Below are 21,179 nucleotides of genomic sequence, written 5' to 3'. Positions count from 1 at the left end.
AGCTTCTCTCCAAGTTTAATGGTCCTGTGAGAGTTTGACTTCAGACTCACCAACTACAGTCAGCTGAGGAAAACCCAGTGGTTATTTATTTGCCATGAAAGTGCCCTTGCTCTGCCTACAGAGCATTCTGGCTATTTGCCCCGACTCAAAATTCTCAAAAGTGTGTAAACTTAGAAAGCATTCTCCAGCTGCTCTGGACTTCAGCATCTCAGGTTTTAGTTAAGAGTCTTTCAACTGCATGTGAAACAATCCACTTTAAATTAGCTTAAAGGAAAAATGTAAAGGGGGAAGGGAAGGGGTTTATTAGGAGTATACAAGGACATCTCACAGAAGCCAAGGGAGCAGAGCCCAGAAGAGTCCCCTGAGGGTCTGGAACCGGAAATTGGAAAAGCCCACAAGAAATAAGATAACCACAACTCGATCTCCCCTGTGACCCCAACAACTCTCATCCCGGCTGAACTCTGCAGCATCTGGTTCATTCTTTTGTCTCTGAAAAAAAGCATGTCTCTTTGCTCTGTGTGCAAGATGGAAAATGGCTACTTTATAGTTCCTGCATTTCCATCCTTTCACCTTCAAGCCACATCAGAGACCAACTAGCTGCCATTTTCCTCTAAAATTCTAAAATTCTGTCACTTAGTAATTCAACCACAATTTATGAAGTGCCTACAATGTGCCAGACTCTGTCCTAAGACAGTAGAAATAACCACTCATTGAATTGGCCCCTCAAAAACCTCAACGCATCAATGTTATTAGGATCTTATGATTGGGTCCAAGACATAATATCTTTCCACACCTGTGTACTAAATAAGTTGAGAGACAAGAAGAAGAATATCAGGCCAAAATATAATGTTCATTATTAATAAAGACTAGGTTGGAAGACAAGAGTTCCATTCACAGACAGATGAGACCTCTAAGAGTTCTAATCCTAGACAGGTGAGCCCTCTAATTCTGAAATCCAGAATTTAAGCGATGTACCCTCTCAGACACCTATCCCAGCAGGGGAGAGGTTTCAAGCCCTATGCAGACTTAAGACTCACTGCCCCAAGCAGCTGCTTAGAACTCATTTACCCTAAGGGCAGTTCATGTTCAAGGAGAAACAGAAAGAGCTGAGCTGAGCATGATAACTTCACTTTTCCTATTTACCAAATAGAGAAATCACTTCACCTTTCCTAGGGCAAAGTACCTAAAGAGGCAGAGAGAGGCCAAATGTGGTAAAACTGACTGAGCTGCTTCCACATGGAAGAAAACATTAAGAATGGGAAAAGCATTTCCCATCTCCAAACAACCATATTTAATATGATTCTTTGCTTTTATCACTTAAGCTTCTTAAATCTGTCATTCAAAAGTCTGAGTTCCTTTTCTTTCTTTAATTGAGTGGACATGTTTTTCTGCTGATATTTTCAAAGGTTTGATTTTTTGGTTGTTATTATTCTAGTGGTTGTCTTTATAACTATTATTCCTTCAATACTTATTCTTCTATTCTCTAGTCCATGCCTGGCAACTCCCCACCATATTCCCTTCTTTTTCCTTACCACCATATTTTAGTGGATTATTATATGTTTAAATATTACATCTGTGACATGGTATCTTTTAACCTCTGGCTATGAAGGATTAGAAAGGCAGTGTACATAGCGACATCTTTTACCATTCTTTTCCCCCTTCTCCTTTCAGCTTTTCTTAATAAAATCATTTCTACACTGGGAGAGCTTATAAGGTTTTGTTCTGCAATCATAATCTTCAAATTTACTTTAGTCTTGGTCCCACTGTTACATGGAATTTCACACTCACCGTAAGTCTTATTTCCATACTTCCAGCTTTCATTCTGAAGTTCATCCTCTAGTGGCTTCTCAGGAAATACATTCTCTAAGCTATTGCATGCTCAAGAATATCAGTCTTCTGCCCTTATACACAAGCAACAGTTCTGCTGTGTTTTTAAAAAAGTATCATTTTTTTCTTACAGATTTTATAAGCATTGCTTCCTTGCTCTCCAGATCTGAATTGCCATGGAGAAGACTGAGAACTTTAAGTGACTTGATACTTTCCTTGGTTGCCTAAAGTATTGATCCTTACCTTTGAAGTCTAGTAAACCTAACCAATACATGTCTCAAGGTTTATCATTGTAGGCCAATGTCTCCAGGGTATGTCTGTCACTTCATATATAAATATGCATATATATATGTGTGTGTGTGTGTTTATATATAATTATTTTTCTGTTTTATTTTAAGGATATATTTTATCACCATGTTAAAACAAACTTCAAAAACAAAATAGAAATGTCCACTACATGTATGTTGTATCTTCTTTATTCATCTTCCATTGCCATCATTTTTTTTCTAATCCATTTTAATGCTCTGTCCTTGTACATTTTACTTAAATCACTTTTCTTAATCCTCTCCTCGCGGTCACTTATTATGTTTTTAGCCAAGCATTGTCTTTATTTATGTGTCTCTTCCAATAGGAAACCTCATTTTTGTGAGGGTTTTAGTTTTATTCCTTTCCTGAGTTCTGCCAGTACATATTTAAACTTTTGTTTTATTTTACCTTATTTTCTATGAACTATTGTACAGCCATTTTACACTCTGATTTTATGAAGGCAATTGTTTCATTGGGGTGTTTTTTAAAACCTAGTAATAAAATGTCTTTTAAAGTTTACTACTTTTATGATAGAATTATAAAGCCATCGAACTTTGCTTGATCTTGAAAAGATCAACGGTTCAACCACCGCCCCCTCAACACACACTCACTTACATGCAAAGAAAACATTTCCAACCTCACCACCACAAACTTCCTTGGAAATCCACATCATCCCTATATTCCTATTTATGTTAGATACCACCAGAATTCTAAGATTCTCTGCATATCATCGCTTATCATTTGGGCTCTCAATTCCACATGGCAAAATATGTTCTTTAACCACTCACCTATCTTCTTTTCTGGAAAATGTCCTCTGGAACTCATAGTCCATTATCAGCAAAATCTCTTATATTCTCAACATCTCTGAATTATCCCTTCATCTTCCTCCTCTAAGTGAAACCTGGCTACATCTAAGGACAGTTTATCTCCTACAAAGCTTTCCAAAAGTGGCTGATCTTCACCATATTCCTCTATATCATTGAACATGAAGGTATGATGTTTGTCCCTTTTGTTTATTGTTGCTTTTTTTAGACAATTTACACCCCTTCCCCCTTAAAAAAAAAACTTGGATTTGAAGATTATACTCTCAGATTGTATCACTCACTACCTCTCCTTTTTGTAGTCATCTATACAAACCTAGGCCAATCCCCTTCATCCCTCAAGGATTTTAGCCTCAAGACCATTGCAACTCCCTGCAGTAGTATTCTGAGTGATTTCAATATTCTTTTTTTTTTTTTTTTTAAGACGGAGTCTCACTTTCTCGCCCAGGCTGGAGTACAATGGCATGATCTTGACTCACTGCAACCTCTGCCTCCTGGGTTCAAGTGATTCTCTTGTCTCAGCCTCCAGAGTAGCTGGGATTACAGGCGTGTGCCAATACAACCAGCTAATTTTTGTACTTTTAGTAGAGATGGGGTTTCACTATGTTGGCTAGGCTGGTCTCAAACTCCTGACCTCAGGCAATCCACCCACCTCAGCCTCCCAAAGTGCTGGGATTACAGGCGCAAGCCACCACACCCAGCCATAATTTCAATATTCTTATGTGTGATCTTCCCAGTACCATGGTCTCCAAGGTTCTCTGTCTATTCTATTTCAGTAGTTTAATTCTCCACTTAACTTAGTTGCTCATTCTTATAATCACAGGTAGATCTTATCATCAATATTAATTGCACCCACCCCACGTTCTTGAACCCAGTTTCAGGCATCTTTAGTCTTACTTTCTTTGAGCTTTCCTGCTCATTCATTCTATTATCTCAACATCACTAATTACTTAATTTAATGAGGACTTTCAATGTACTGATTCAACCACCATTTGACTCCCACTTCACACACACACACACACGCACACACACACACACACACACACATGCTGCCTGGGTTCACCTTAAGCTTATCACCCCTAAATTCACATCAGCCCTTTAAAAGCACTCAGTAATCATAATTTCATTAGCTCTTTCATTCTCCTGCCCTCCTAGACAATAATTTTGCCTCTTCTTATTTCTCTGCAAATCTCCCACAACTCTTTCATTACCTTACTCTCAGTTTATAATGATGCTTTCTTTATTTGAAAAAATAAAAGCAATGAGAACTCCAACATACTCCTTTCACCACATACATGAAACTATCAGGTTCATTCTCATATACTGTGTTTCCTTCTGTTGCCAAAGATGAACTGCACATGTTCCCATCAAAAGCCAAATCCTTCTCCTGTACAAGGGATCCCATCTTGTCTCACCTCCACGGCACCATGGCGCATGCCTGTAATCCCAACACTTTGGAAGGCCAAGGCGGGCAGATCACTTGAGGTCAGGAGTTCAAGAACAGCCTAACCAACATGGTGAAACCCCGTCTCTATTAAAAATACAAAAATTAACTGGGCGTGGTAGCGTGCCTGTAGTCCCAGCTACTCGGGAGGCTGAAACAGGAGAATCACTTGAACCTGGGAGGCAGAGGTTGCAGTGAACCTTAATATCACCATTGCACTCCAGTTTGGGCAACAAGAGTGAAACTCCATGTTAAAAAATAGAAATTTAAAAAAAGAAAATAGTTTTCATATTTGTCTTCCCTAATTCCTACATTATCAAAATCTCTCCTATAGATAATTACTGTCAGCACACTAACCTGCTTATGCTCCTCAGTCACATCTTCCTGCAGCCACTACCCTATTACTCTGTTCCCCTTTGTAGCAAAACTCATGGTCATCAATCTTGGTTAGGCTCAGCTAACTAGTTCTTCTACTGCACTTAGTTGGGCTCACTCATGTGTCTAAGGTCTGCTGCTGGCCAGTTTGGCAGCTCTGCTTTTTGAGACCGTGAAACTCATGGGGGCACTTCTTCACCTCTCATTCTCTTTTGACCTCATCCAGCTGGTTTCCATCTCCACCAGTTTTCCACATCCCAGTAAATGTCATTTCATCCTTCAACTTGCTCGGTCAAAAAAAAAAAAAAGGATGGGGGATGGCTATGTTTTGTCTGCCTTGCCTTACATGCAGACTGTCTTCTGAATTTACGATTCGTCTATGTGAATTTTTTTATTCAGTCCTGTCTTCTCTTTAGGCCAAACTGGGCCACCAAAGCTCCTGACATCAACCACACTACCATTTCCATTGCACCATATAAGGGCTTGCTGGGTTTGCCCTCTGGGTGTGCCGGGTATTTAGAGAAATGTGTTTGGCAATATTCTCCTGATATCTGCAGCTCTGAGCATCTTTTCCCTGTGCTTCCTCATCTTATTTGATCTTCACTGCATGTGGCAGCTATTCTCTATATATTGTGGTTTAGGGTTATGGATGTCCCTTGGTTTCATCAGAAGTGGACAGCTCCTTTCTTTCCAGGTGGTCTTTGTTGCTGTGAGGGTGATCTCCAAGAGGACAAAGAAGAAATACTCTCTATATTCACTATTTTAAAACTAGAAATCACAAGAAATATGATTAGTAATTTACTTTTAAGAAGATAAATCTGACCACAGTATGTAGCAAGAGGCAGGGTATATTAGTTTATCAGGGTTCTCCAGATAAACAGAACCAATAGAACAGATGAAAGAAGAGAGAGGGGGATGTTAAAGTATTGGTTCATGTGATTACAGAGGCTGAAAAGCTCCACAATCTGCCCTCTGAAAGCAGGAGACCCACCAGTGATGTAGTTCAAAGGCCTAAGAGCTGGAGAACCAGTGGCATAGATTTCAATCCAGTGCTGGAGGCCTGAGAATAGGAGTGCTGAGAGCAAGAGAAGATTGATGTTCCAACTCAAGCAGTGAGGCAGGTGAGAATTCAGTCTTCCTCCACCTTTTAAAAAATCTATTCAGAGTTCGAGACCAGGCTGGCCAACATGGTGAAACCCTGTCTCTACTAAAAATACAAAAATTAGCTGGGCATGGTGGCAGATGGCTGTAATCCCAGCTACTCGGGTGGCTGAGGCAGGAGAATCACTTGAACCTGGGAGGTGGAGGTTGCAGTGAGCAAAGATCACGCCGTTGCACTCCAGCCTGGGCGACAGAGTGAGACTCCATCACACGCATACACACACACACACACACACACACACATACACAAATCTATTCAGGCCCTCAATGGACTGTTTCATGCCCACCCACCTTGCGGAGGGTAATCTTTACTCAGCCCACCAATTCATACGTTAATCTATCCATAAACTCCCTCACAGAAATAATGTTTTATCAACCATCTAAGCATTTCTTGGCCCAGTCAAATTGACAAATAAAATTAGCCATCACTAATTTTGGGAAAGCCATCTGGTAATAGCAGAAGATCTAAAGGAAGCTATTGGAAGTAGAGCCTGAAGAAGTCAGAGGAGAATTGAGCCAAATGGGAGCCTTCGATTCCTTTAGAGATGTGGCCACTCCAATATGCCAGTAAGGTTTCAAAGGTAGGTGACGAAAAAACTAATGCAGTTTAATTTTTTTTAAAGGCAGGGGGTGGGGGTGTATGTGAGACAGGAAATCAGAAGCTTATGAAATCATTAGAACGGCTGAAGAAATAAGTTCTAGGTAAGAAATGATTTGGAATGTCTCTAGAAGAGCATCCCAGAACTGACTCGCCAAGAGAAACTCTGCAACAGTGGGGCTGTTAGGGAGACAGAAAGCCAGTGTTCTAAGTACTGCTTCCAGGATCTCATCATGTGAGCCATAATCTAGGCATCTGGGGCCCAATGCCAAACTTATGGGTCCAGGAACGATTCTCCTTAAGGGAAGTTTGGGGTTCAGGATGCTGCCATCAGAATGTTGACCTCTAGAGCCAGAGTAAGTCCAGATCCTGGCAAAATAAACACTTGATTTATTTCCTCTGCCTCCTTCCACTTACATTGGTTGTGAACCCAAGCCTCACATGTATCTGGCTGGGATAATCTTACATCAAAAATTATACCTTCAATTGAGGAAGCAGTCTTTAGATGCCAAACTGTCAAATACAGAAAAGCACATAAGAAAAAATTTGGAGCGGGTGATGAACAAAACTACCCAAACTGCCCAGCTTTGGTCAAATTTTCTTCTCCTCCCTGCTGAGCTCACTTTATCAATCCTTTAGCTGCTATAAACACCGATTTCCTCAATCCTCTTTCCCTAACCCACAGTCCTCTCCCACAAATATCTCTGTTACTCCATATTACATATTGTCATGTTTGCTTATTATGATAGCTGTAAGTATTGTTAGCCCCCATTTTGTGAATGAGGGTACTGAGGTCCAAAAAAGTGAAATAATGTGTCCAAGGTCACCCCGCCAGTTAATGATGGAATTGAGACTTAACCTCATGATCTGACTCTAAATCTCATTTTCTTTCTTCTACCTTTTAAGTCAATGAACGTCTATGACTATGTCTCCTTCTAAACTGAGAAGAAAACCCAAAACCAGCCTCTCCTGGGCAAGCAAAATAAATGGGTTTCTTCATCATTCTTTCTTTCTGAGGCCTCTTTAGGCTGAACCCCTCAGTGCTCATGCCCAGATGGTTAATGTTGCTGCCAGCCAGGCTGAGGGCTATACATAACATTACTCTCTTCTTAAGGGGCTGCCATCTTACATTGTATTTTGCCTGTATGGACCATCAATCAAGTTTTCCCTCACTAGAAAAAGTTATTGATGACCACTTGCTCCTGAATATCTAAAAAGAACCTTCTGGTCTTTCCAAGCCACAGGCCTTATTCAGTCAGTAAGCACTGATTAGAGCCTTTCCTGGTCCCAACCTTTCCTGATAACCGTAACTTTCTTCTATGAACCTCATCAAGTTAAACTTCTCGTTATTCCTGAACATACCCCTGGTTTCATGCCTTTGCTGATACTAGTCTCTCAGCCTGGATTTTTATTTTCCTTTTCAATGGCTAAGAATCTAGTTCTTAATCCATCTTGCAAGATTTAATCCCTCCCTTTTCCACAATATTTCCCTGGAACTCTATAACAGTTAGAATTGAATTCTTCTACTTTTGAACTATTTTGACATTTCTATGTATGTCTCTCTTACAATACCCCTGAATTTCTACTTGTTATTAAATAAACAGGATGTAAGTTGAATTGCCGGCTGCAAATGTTTTATCTCCCTTTGGTAATTAATGTTATATAACCACACTTTTGGCATAGCCAGGAGAACTCCACTTTGGGCTTGAATAGGTGACTTGCTTTGGCCAATAGGATTGTTAGAGAATGTATGATAACAAGAGGCTTGAAGTGCACTTGCATAGTTGGGCCTGGCCTTTTGCATTTCTGCTCTTTGCCAGGAGAATGTCCTGAGGACAGATGTTGGTCCAAGGAAGACAAGAGGCACATGAGAGTATCTGCATCCAAACTATAGCATAGAACCAAGCCTAGCCTAATCTAGATTAGCCAAACCCCACCCAATTCAACATATATGTGAGCAAAATACGCAGCAGTAACTGACTGAAATACCCATCAGTGCAATTTTATCTCTTTTACTAGATTGTGTATTCCAAGAAGGCAAGTTTCTATCTTACTCTTTCTACAGCTTTGTAACAACATCTAAACATTATAGGAAGCTTACTATCCATCATGTGAAAAAACTGAGGGCCAGCAAGGTTTAATAAGTTATCTCAGGAAAATGCAAATCAAAACCACAATGGGATCACCTCACACCTGTTAGGATGACCAGTATTAAAAAAAAAAAAAAAAAAAAAAGATAACAAGCATTGGCAAGGGTGTGGAGAAAAGGGAACTCTTGTACACTGTTGTTGGAAATGCAGATTGGTGCAGCTATAATAAAAAACAATATAGAGGTTCCTAAAGACATATCATATGACCCATTAATCCTCCTTCTGGGTATAAAGCCCACAGAAATGAAATCGCCATCTTGTCAAGATGTCTGCACTCTAATGTTCATTGCAGCATTATTCACAATAGCCAAGATATGGAAACCATCTAAGTGTTAACAGATGAATGAATAAAGAAAATGTGGTATACACACACACACACACACACACACACACACACACACACACAATGGAATATTATTCAGCCTTTAAAAGGAAGGAAATCCTGCCACTTTAAACAACATGAATGAAACGATTATGCCTAGTAAAACAAGCTAGATAGAAAGAAAAATGTCACGATCTCAACTACTTGTGGAATCTTACCAAAAAAAAAAAAAAAGAAATAGATACACAGAAACAGAGTAGAGGTCAAGCATGGTGGCTCATGCCTGTAATTCCAACACCTTGGGAATCAGAGGTGGGAGGATCACTTGAAGCCAGTAGTTCAAAACCAGCCTGGGCAACACAGTGAGACTTCATCTCTACAGAGGAAGAAGGAGAAGGAGAAGGAGGAGGAGGAGGGAGGGGGAGGAGGAGGGAGGAGGGAGGAGAAGGAGGGAGGGGGATAAGGAGGAGGAAGGGGGAGAGGGAGAGGAAGGAAGGAAGGAAGGAAAGAAGGAAGGGAGGGAGGGAGGGAAGGAAGGGAAGCAGGGAAGGAGGTAAGGAGGAAAGGAAGGAAGGGTAGAAAAGTGGTTGCAGAGGCAGGGGAGATTGGGGATACCTAAGCCAAAGAGTGAAAAGTAGCAGTCACATAGGATGAATAAGTCTAGCGATCTAGTGAGGACTGTAGTTAATATTGTATTCTACACTGGATATTTGCAAAGAGAGGAGATTTTAGGTACTCTTAGCACAAAGAAAGTAACTATGTGAGATTATTTACATCTTAATTTACTCCACTGCAGTAATCACTTCACTATGTGTGTGTAGGTGTGTAAGTATGTGTGTGTGTGTCATTTTGTACAGCTTAAATATATACAATAAAAATTACAGTGGTTATCAAAACTGCAATTGTTGAAAATTTTAATCGTCATTAATAAAATAGTAAATTAAAAATAAAGCATGATGTTTGTAAATAATAAATTCTCATTATTTTTAAAATTTGGTTTTATAATTTGTCTGTTAAATTTAATAACTGAATCACAATTAAATTAATGTAAAAATTTAATATTTTTCCCAGATGCAAGCTCTAGGTATAAAAAATATTGCATTGTAATTTGAGTATATCAAGTTAAACTTAATTTTTAAATTTCAAGGTATGCAAACAAAAACATGAGGAATCTGGGGAGAAAATTATTTTAAAACAAAAAATAGATTAAGTAAATGAAGGAGGGAGGGAGAGGTGGAAGGAGGAGGGAGGAGAAGGAGGGAGGGGGATACCATAAAAAATAAGTTATCTAAAGTTACATAATGACGTCGTAACAGAGATGGGGTTCAAATTCAGGCAGCCTGACTCTAGAGGCTTGATGCAATACATCTATCTAAATAAAGGATGTTCAAGAAAATATTTGAGGATGGGAAGGAGAAAGGGACAGAGAAAGGAAGAGCGGAAATACAATAATTTTTTGTTGTATTTTTAAAGAATATTTCTATATTTGCTACTGAGTTTTTTAAAGCATAACTGTCATTATAATTTATACCCTTAAAGATGATGCTTATCATTAGACTGTCCAGGAATTTTTTTTTTTCTGTACCAGCTCCTGACTACCCTTTTTTTTTTTTGACGGAGTCTCGCTCTGTGGGCAGGTTGGAATGCAGTGGCGCGATCTCAGCTCACCACAACATCTGCCTCCTGGGTTCAAGCGATTCTCCTGCCTCAGCCTCCCAAGTAGCTGGGACTACAGGCACATGCCACCACACCCAGCTAATGCACCTGACTATCTTTTAGGGAGCACTTTGACCCACATACCTTGGAGAGGTATTCTCCTGGTAAGACCCTCCCACTGCAGAGCTTCTCTCTAGATACAGAGTCTCCTTCCTCCTACAATAGTATAGCCAAGGGCAGGGCTTGTGACCCGAGCTGACCAACTGGCTGCTCTCTCCAGGACTCAGGTGAGTGATGGAAAGAGGAGATACAATCAATCATCACAGAAATAGTGTGCATGCCAGACTCACTTCATGGGAACCATGGTTGGGGCTCCTGCTGTGAGCTCCCGAGCTCCCCCAGCTCCTCCCAATTTCCCTGCCCAGTCCCCCAGCCTCCCTTAGATCTGTGGATTCTCCATATTCTTCCAGTAAATACCCTTTCACTTTAGAAATCCAGCCTTGGCTTCTGTTGCTTGCAACCCACAACCCTGATTGGTTTCATTTCTTTTTCCCAAAACAATCTCTATAGTTTATGAAACTGGATGCTCCATTGGCCTGAACTCAAGAAAAGGCCATGAGAAAGGCTGAATGACCTAGGTTCTAAAAGAAGCAAGTTCATAGGCAAACTTGCTTGTGAGTTGCTCTTTTGCTACTGTGGTCAGCACGACATTAGCTCTGGGCCCAATACCCCAGGGTCTGAATACATCCCATGAATACATGAGATGACAATCAACATGATCTATTTAACATCTTCTGTCACTGATCACAGAATGTTAAAACTAGACAGAATCTTAAAGAACATCTAGTCCACCTCCCTTGTTGAACAAATGAAAATAAATGAGGACCTGTCCAGCATTGAAAACTAAGCGGCAGAGCTGAGACTATCTTGTGAGCCTCTTGATCCCCATCCGGGTCCCTTTTTGCCCCACCACCTGCTGTGCATCTGCCAGAATGTTTTGCTCTTGAATGTTTTGTTCAAATACTGAAAAAGTAGTGTTGTGACTAAGAGCACAGTTTGCGGGGACAGACCACTGGGCTCATATCTCAGGTACGCCATTTACCTACTCTCTGGAAGAATCACTTGCCTGTCTGCACCTCAGTTTACTAATCTGTCAAATCGGGATAATGAGAGTATGTACCCCATAAGATTGTTATGAGTAATAAGTACCATAAATAGCTGAGTACTGCACATATAGCAAGCACCCAATGAATATTAGAAATATTTGTGATTACTCATAAAATAATTGATCTGGAATATCAAGTATTCTTTATTTGGGCAAAGAGAAAATAAGGTGCAAAGATAAAGGGACCTGACCAAGGTCATATTGTTCCCACAAACCCTGACTAAAGATTGTGTGCCCCCCACAAATTCATAGGTTGAAATCTAACCCCAATTGTGATAGTATTTGGAGGTGGGGTCTTTGGGAAGTGAAAACAACTTTGGTATGTGATCAGGTCATGAGGATGGAGCCCTCACGAACGGGGTTAATGCTGTTATAGAAGAGACCCCATAGAGCTCCCTTGGCCCTTCCACCATGTGAGGACACAGTGAAAAGATAGCCATCTGTGAACCAAGAAGTGGACCATTACCAGACGCTGAATCTGCTGGTGACTTGGTTTTGGACTTCTCAGCCTCCAGAACTGTGAGAAAGAAGTGTTTGTTGTTCAAGCTGCTTAGTCTGTGGTATTTTTCTTATAGCAGCCCAAATGGACTAAGATACCATGCATGTCCCATCCAAGCCTAGAACACTTTCAGGAGCAATTGACAGAAAATCTCAGTCTAACAAAATAATTATTGACTTCTGTAACTGAAAAGGATGCTTGCTGATTTGAGTCATGTTGGGTCCAATTCCTTACATAATTACCTCTCTGTCTCTGTCTGTCTTTCTCTCTCCTTCTACCCCCTTCCCATTTCTTGGCTTTATTTCCCACTGAGCTGGCTTCACCCTTAAATCCTTCACTCATGGAGATTCTTGCATCCCCAAGCTTAAATTATCTTTATAGATAATGATCCCTGTGGAAAAAAAAAAGAGCTATGGTTTTTTATTATCCCTGAAAAGTTCTGGAATTCATGCCAATTGGGCTAATTAAAGTGAGGTGTTCAAGCATGAACCAATCATGCTGACCAGGGGCACTTCAGTGACTGGCCAAGCCTGACTCATGTGCTCATTGCTGGATCTGGGTAGGATGGGGCCACTCCCACTTACATCACATAGACAGGGTGTAGGAAATGGAGCCAATGCCAGAAGAAGAGAGGATGGAAGATGTGTACTGGCAAATGCAGCCACCATTGGAAGCCTTACCTTTTGAATCTTCTCCATTTTGGAAAGACCCCAAAGGTACCCTGTTTACCATCAATTCTCTTCCCCTTTTGCTTTCTCCTTTCTATTCCTCAGTCTGCTTACATTGCCTCCTTAGGACTTAAAACTCTTAACTCCTCTGTAGATTCCTACGGGATCTCTAGTCCCAAATATGAACTCCAGCCACTAAGTACAACTCCCTGCACCAAATACAAATGTGGTAACCAATAAGCACAGTTATGCTCAAAGCAGGTCTGGAGACTTAGCAAAGAGGGTAACTTACTTTTCTTTAGCACCTCAGGTCCCTTCTGGGTCAGAGACTGCTGGCTCCAGCACTGGCCTCACACCCCAGCAGCTGGGATCCTCTAAAGATGAAACAGTGGGGGCTCAGATGTTCTAAGAGCCAGCATAGCTTTGAACACTGCAGGGAAAAGACAGAGTCATGCTCTCCTACTGAGAATAGCATTTTTAGAGCAAGCACTGCTACTTGCTTATTCAGAAGGCTTAGGGCCATGGGAAGAGGCATATGCTTTGGAGGTGCACATTCTAATAACAGGTCTGCTGGTCTGTAGTCAGGTGACCTTAGGGAGGGCTCCTAGCCTCTAAGAAGTCCCAGTATTCTAGTCTGTAAAATAGGAGCATGATACCTACCTTCCAGGGGTAATGGTGATGTAAGCATTAAATGATAAAAATGCATGTGTTGACCTCTAGAGGTTACTCAACATGCTTTGGTTGCTACCTGCTTTCCTCCCCACCCCACTTTCCCCAGCATACATATGTATGCTCTTTAGGGGTGAGTCAGGATCTAGGAAAAATATCTCCACCCCCTTCAAAAGGAGAGGTGCCAAGCTGGTGAATTAGATTCCAATGCACAATTGGACTATGCATTCTAAGGTATAGATGAACCAGGTCTCTGCTCCTCTTTATATCTTTAGGGTAAGGGCTGGGACTGCCTCTGAATTCGAGGCTCTCAATCCAGTTCTCTCTCTCCTAATGTCTACGGGTCCCGGTTAGAAAGACTAAGTCTGGCAGTTCCAGGCATTGTAGCTGATGGTTTTCTTCTGTTCCCCAACTTTATATTCTCCACAGCTGGAGAGAAGCCTCATCTCATTGCAGTGGCATGTTCTGATGCTCTGGTCTGAGCTTAAGAGACATAGCATTTTGCTGCTCCAGTTTTGGTTGCTAAGCTGTCTTTACAGAAAGAAACAGAAGCTTCTGCTTCAAGGGTTGGCCCTTGGGTCAAACAGGGCCCAACATGGGTATTTGGAAATAAAGTTTCACTGGAACACTGCCATACCCATTCATTTACAAATTGTCTACTATGGATACTTCTCTGCTCCAGTGGCAGAGTCAAGTATAATATCTGCAGGAGACCATATGGCCTGCAAGACCACAAATATTTATTATATTTTCCTTTACTGAAAAATTTTGCTGGCCCCTGACTTATATAACCCAGCCCACCCTACTAGACTTCAACTTTAGGGTTTAGGACCAAGCCCCACCAACTAATAAACATCACTTTTCTTTCTTTCCTTGATCATATCACTCTCCTTATAAGATTATGTAATTGGCCTTAGACAGGATTTGGACATATCTAGGTCTCCAGGCTATAGGGTCTAAATTTATCATCACTTTCAATAATATTAAAATGCTTACTACTTTATTTTCACCAAAATTGACAGTTGTTATTATTTTATTCATTCACAGATTCATGGTAATGGGAGCGAGGGGCTTTCTAGCATGAATGTAGCCCGTTGTACGATCTGGAGAATCTCACGTGGCTGAGTTCAGTAGCAGCTCTTCTACTTGGTAGCTATGTGACATTGGGCAAAAACTTAGCCTTTCTTGGCCTCAGTGTTCTCTTCCATAACGTAGAGATGAATGGGAATGGACTTCCAAGTCATTATAAAGATATGTGATATGAAATTACAGATGCCATGCAATTAGCACAGTGCTTGGCATATTATAGATACTAATTATAAAATTATAAGTCATTTACCCTTTACTCTAATTACCCTTCTGGTAATATGATGACACCTATCTTTTTTGTTTGTTTGTTTGTTTGTTTTGAGACGGAATCCTGCTCTGTAGCCCAGGCTAGAGTGCAGTGGTACAATCTCAGCTCACTGCAACCTCCACCTCCCAGGTCCCGGTTCAAGCAATTCTCCTCCCTCAGCCTCCTGAGTAGCTGGGATTACAGGCATGCATCACCATGCCCAGCTAATTTTTGTATTTTTAGTAGAGATGGAGTTTCACCATGTTGGCCATGCTGGTCTTGAACTCCTGACCTCATGATCTGCCTACCCTGGCCTCCCAATTATGTGATTGAATCTTCAGCCCAGTTCCATGAAATGGCCACTGCTAAATGTATGTCCTGCCCAGACGGTGCCCAGGGCCCAGAGCCTTCCTTTTGCTCCACTATCACAACGTGTTTGCCAGTATCCTGTCTACTCAGGGCTGTGCTCTCTCATACCAGCCAATAGGATTTTCCGAGAGGCATTTTTTGTATCTCCATGATGACATTCATCCCATCCAGCTTTATGGTTAGGGGGAAAGAGTGCTAGACTTGCAGCCATGCAGTCTTGACTCTGCTAAGTACTGGCTGTGTGACTTTGAGCATCTCACTGCCTCTCTGCCTGTTTTCTTTAGTGAGATGGGGATAATAATACTTTCCTCGTTAAAGTATTGTGAGAATCCAGTGATGGTTATGGCATAAACCCGTATACATATGGGACATTATTTGATACATATTTATGAAAGTGTTTTCTACAAATTTCTCTACTTCTCCTACTACACATAGAATTCCTTAAAGGCAATATATCATTGCATCAATGTATCATTCATTTGAAGGCCCACAATTTCTAGCACAGAAAAGATATCTGATTCATCAAATGATTAAGGTGGATTGATGGGGATTCTCTTATAAAATATATTTTAATTTATTTTACTTACAGGGCGAGGAATTTTTCTAATTCATTTCTGCATCCTTATGTCTAGTAGCTATCCAGTAAATATTTTCTAGAAAATAAATGAATAATAGAAAAGTCATATCTTTCTTCTCTCTATTCTTTCTCTTCATTCTCTCTTCCTCGTACATGCATTGGTCATCTAAACTCCAAGCCCCTGGTCTACGCAACTTATTTCATACACTAAGAAAGTACGTAATATATACTGCATAATAAAGAGGCAGTACAGTGTAGTTGTTATGATCATGGGCCCTGAACTAAGACTACATGGGTTTAAATTCCAAAACACTGCTAATTAACTGTGTGACCTTGGACTGGTTAGTAAACATCTTTAAGATTCAATCTCTTCACCTATAAAGTAAAAATAAAAGGAATTATCTCACAGAGCTTTTGTGAGAAGTATATAAAGCACTTAGAACAGTGTCTGTATATAACATGTCATAAGTTAAATGGTATCCCTCCAAAAAGTTATATGAACCTAACCCCAAGTATCTGTGGATATGACTTTATTTGGAAATAAGGTCTTTGCAGATGTATTCAAATTAAAATGAAGTCATTGGGGTAGGCCCTAATCTAATATGACTGATGACCATATAAGAAAGAGAACTTTGGGAATATATACATACATAGGGAAGACAATATGAAGACACAGGAGAACACCGTGTGAGCCGATTGGGAGGGAAAGGTTGGAGCATCTGCAATGAACCAAGGAGTACCATGGATTGTTGTCAAACACCAGAAGCCAAGGAGCAAGGAAAGAGCCTTCTTCAGAGCCTCCAGAAAGAGAGCACAGTCCTGTTGACTCTTCGATTCAGACTTTTAGCTTCCAGAGTCATAAGACAATACGTTTCTGTTGTGTTAAGCCACCCAATTGTGGTACCTTGCTATAGCAACCTTAGGAAACTAAGACAATTACCTATCATTACTATTGTGTGGTTTAAATGCTCATTGAATACAAGAATAAATTCATGCATTTCTTATGGAAGGACACCCTCTTTCGGTTTCCAGCATTTTGGGGGAAACAATAATATAAAGAGAATTCAGAGAGTGAACCGGTTTGCAGAATCTTAGGAGATTTTATTGGAACCTTTCTTCTCATGACATCATGGAAACAAGGCCATGAATATCTCCAGCCTGATTCACTAGGTGAATTTTAACTGAGGCTTACACAAGTCACAAAAAAATTCTGCTTTTTCTCTGACACTTTAGAGTCCTCCTACAGTTTCACCCCCAACACCCATCACCGTAATAAGCTATATCCCATGACAAACAACAAGCACATCATACAGAGAGATGAGAAGAGCCAGCCAGGCAGTGCAGCCTCTGTCCCATTTCAGAAGTGCTTGTCATCAGAGGTCACATCCTACCTGGTTTACTCTCTGCATTTGGTTCTCTTTCCCAGGAGCTCTGAAAGGGTTTCACTTGGAATCAGACTTCAGTCAAAATCTTTTCATCAAGTATATGACCTAGAAACTTCCTTCTCATCTTAGGGTATTTTTCCGTCATACTTCCTCCACGAAGGTAAGTATCTTCGTGGACTGATGCATACGCATAGTGGATACACTTGGCTGCTTCCCTTTGCATCTCCTCCTCCCTAACTGAACAGTAGTTGTGTTCAGCGACCGGCCCCTCCTCTACAAGACAAGGGCAATGGGAAACCCAGCCCTCTGAGTTCAGAAATTGATCCTAATTGGTCTAAGTGTGGTCTCAGTTCCCTGGCCAGGGGTTGCTTCAGAAATGGGCACTACCCAATTCAGGCATATAAAACAGGAGGGGAATTCTGCAGGTGCGCTAGTGAAAAAAAAATCTTCATTTCCAATCAAAGATGGGGAATACCGGGAGGGGGAGTATAGAGACAGGATTTAAAAAAAAAAGAGCACATGAATGAGCAAAGAGGGCAAGTAGTCTCATTTCTCTAGACACCACTGGATCTGGATATGACACCTCCAGCCTAAAGATGAAGACAACCCTGGGGATGGCAGAGAGATTGAGAAGAAGCCTGGATCCTTGATGAAAATGCTGACCAATAAATCAACAAATTTTAGAGCCTGATGTGTTTGGTGTTATTGTCTACTATATGAGCTAATAAATCTTCTGTATTATTTAAGTCAGTTTGAATCAGGGTCTGTTACTAGCAAAATAAAAGCATATCAATACATAAAATATAATTTTAAAACAAAGCTACAATATAAAAAATAAAGCTTGTTAGCTCACCTTTTCACTTAGAAGAACATTTTCCTATGTCAGTAGATAATTTTATACATTTAATTTTATAGGTACATTATAATATTTTGAAAGTGCATCATAATTTACTTAACTTTTCACATATTTTGAGTAATTCAGTTATTTCCATTTTTCACTATTATAACTAACATTGAGGTCAACAACTATAAACAATTATATTTAGATCCTTAAGATAGATTAGAGAAATAGAATTACTTATTTGAAAAAAATCTTTTTGAAGGTTCTTGATATTGCTTTCTAAAAAACTAAATCAATTTATACCCCTATTAGCAGGTTATGAGAGAACCTATCTCACCACAACATAAATCATATGCAATTTAAGATAAAAGAATAGTGTTCTCATCTTCATTGAAATGTCTTGATTACTAGTGATGCTATGTTTCTTTTTGTTTCACTGGCTACATATATTTTTCTTCAACGAATTGCCCATTCATGGTTCTACTAATTTTTAAATTGAGGTTTTCTTTATATTTCCTGGCAGAGTTGTAGGATTCTAGGACTGAGATTTGCCTAATATACGCAATAAACTTTACATTTATAATTTACTTTAATCATCAAAATAATTTAGCTTGGTAGGTTTGATTAAGTTCATCTTACAGAAGAGAAGATGAGGCTGAGAGGCTAACTTCATAGTAGTCATCTATGTGTTTCAAGTTCCAGTACAGATGCACACACAAATATCAATTTGACATTTGACATTTGGAGTGACTTAGATATCCTCTAACCTCTGCTCTTTTTCCTGCAGGTGAGCCTTTATATGAAGTATCATCTGGTTCTCTATGCAAAAGAGATACTGGCAATTCATTTTAGAAAAATATAAGGATGTAATTTTTCCGCTAGATGTGTTTCCTATTCATTTGATGACACATATAACCTCAACTCCCTGAGAGTGCCCTATTTATCACCATCAGAATGCCCCCTGAAGTGGCAACTACAGCAGTAAATCCAGATGTTCCTAATGTATGAAATCCAGCCAATAACTGACTGTACCACCTGCTCCTTGCTTGTTAGCAATTGCAGGGATAATTGCATCCCAAGCTTGAATTGTCAGACAATACAAGCAGTAATGGGACACTTTGAGCTCCCATTTTGGTAGAAATTATACACGTAATCCAAAGGAAGAAATCAGTGGGGTTTCTAAAGTTTGGTAACTATAGAGCAGAAGTTTTGAAACTTTATGTAAGAACCGCCAGGGAAAATTTTTTAAACCTCAGACTCAGACCTTACCCAGTACCAACTAAATTAGACTCTCCAGGGGTGGGATCCAGGCATCAGTATTTTCAAAAACTCCCCAAGTGATTCCAATGTGCAACCAAGTTTGAGCACTAGCACTATAGAATCACATCTCTAATTTCCTGTCTTGAAAAGAAACCCCTTATACTTGAGCTCCTGGAAGGCTCCAGGAGAGAGACAGAAGAAAGGAAGTGTTCTGGGAGAGCCTGGTAAGTTGTTAAGACCACGCTGGGGCTGTATTCCCACTGCATGCCTCAGCTCGAGGATGTCTTCTCACTGAAGATGTCTCTGCACTGCCAAGTTCATTGCAGAATTTTCACAACAGCCAAGATATGAAAACAAACTGTCCACACATAAATGAATAAGGAAATTGTGGTGCGCATACATATATATTATATGTGTGTGTGTATTTCTATATACATATAACAAAATATTATTCAGCCTTATAGAAGAAGGAAATTCTGCCATTTGCAACAACATGGTGTAGGGTAAATGCCCCTGATAGCAATAACTTAAGCATAACCTTAGAATGACCGTGTATGGCAGACACACCTGAGTGTGTATTTTGAGCTAGGGAATCCAGAAGGGCCAACCGGGAGATTCATTCCTTGTCCTGAGAAACATCTAAGTCCCCATCCCATCCTGTAGAACACGGGGTGTACAGGGGATTAAGGCCCTAAGTTTTGAGTTAAGTGAAAGTTGCCAACTGGAGGTTGTTAAGAGAAGGTTGTTAAGTGAAAATGCTCTGTAAACTGCATGCTATTAGCAAGCGGTTGCAGGTTTCCTGCACAGCCCACCACCACTGAGTCCTGCGGTTGTCTTCTCCTGCCCACCTCAAAGGGACTGTGGGAAGTTGGCTATGTTGTCCAGCCCATCACTACTGGACTGTAGGAAGGTGGATATGTGGTTGTGTCTGCTGCCACTGGACTGTACATAAGGCAGATACATTGTCCAGCCCGCCACCACTGGACCATAGATAAGAGGATTATGTTGTCCAACCTGCTGCCACTGAACCATAGGAAGGCAGATATGTTGCCCAGCCCACTGCCACTGGACTGTAGGAAGGCTAATGTGTTGTCCAGTCTGTTCCCACTGGACTGTATTTAAGGCAGATATGTTGTCCAGCCTGCCACCACTGGACCATAGGTAAGGTGATTATGTTGTCCAGCCCACTGCCACTGGACTGTAGGAAGGCAAATACGTTGTCCAGCGTGCCACCGCTGGACTATTTTTGTATGAAGGCAGTTCTCCTGTCCAGCCTGCCACCACTGGACTCTCTCCTGCAGGAGGAGTAAGCTCCTGATAAAACTCCACGTCTAGTTTGCTATAATAGCTCTGGGTCTCTTCTTTGACCTCTTGAACCTGGCTCCTTCCCTGTGCAGGCTCATAGCAGTTTTGCACAATGCATGGATGAAACTGGAGATTATGCAAAGTGAAATGAGCCAGACACAGAAAAACAAATACTGCATGATCTCACTTTTATGTGGAATATTTAAAAAAAGAAAGTCAAACTCATAAAGCATGGAGTAGAATGGTAGTTACCAGGGGCTGGAGTGGGGGATAATGAAAAGGAGAGATATTGGTCAAAGGGTACAAATCTTCAGTTATGCAAGGAATAAGTTCTAGAGACTTAATGTACAGCATGGAATCTATAGATAATAATACCGATTTTATACTTAAAATTTGCTAAAAGAGTAGATCTCAAGTGTTGTCACTGTCACAGAAACAAATAGTA

General features: G+C 40.5%; 1 long non-coding RNA gene across 22 annotated transcripts in view; it reads right to left on the bottom strand.

Annotated features, from left to right (window-relative positions):
- LINC01643 (long intergenic non-protein coding RNA 1643) overlaps positions 1 to 21,179 on the bottom strand; it is a 201,365-nt gene that overhangs the window by 31,065 nt on the left and 149,121 nt on the right. For 17 of the 22 annotated variants that reach the window (NR_183602.1, NR_183600.1, NR_183585.1 and 14 more), the window contains 2 exons: positions 15,954 to 16,019; positions 13,285 to 13,422 (listed from right to left, as the gene is read on the bottom strand). The exons of 1 other annotated variant lie outside the window; for it this stretch is intronic. This is a non-coding gene — a long non-coding RNA (long intergenic non-protein coding RNA 1643). Of the gene's footprint in view, positions 1 to 12,291; positions 12,343 to 13,284; positions 13,423 to 15,953; positions 16,020 to 21,179 lie in introns of all 22 variants that reach the window. 4 more of the 22 variants (NR_183601.1, NR_183597.1, NR_183594.1 and 1 more) reach the window with 1 other exon arrangement.

Source organism: Homo sapiens, chromosome 22 (assembly GCF_000001405.40).
Source record: "Homo sapiens chromosome 22, GRCh38.p14 Primary Assembly".
Taxonomy (NCBI): domain Eukaryota; kingdom Metazoa; phylum Chordata; class Mammalia; order Primates; family Hominidae; genus Homo; species Homo sapiens.
Note: the sequence above shows the minus strand (reverse complement) of the source record. Positions and strands in the feature narration are given on the sequence as shown.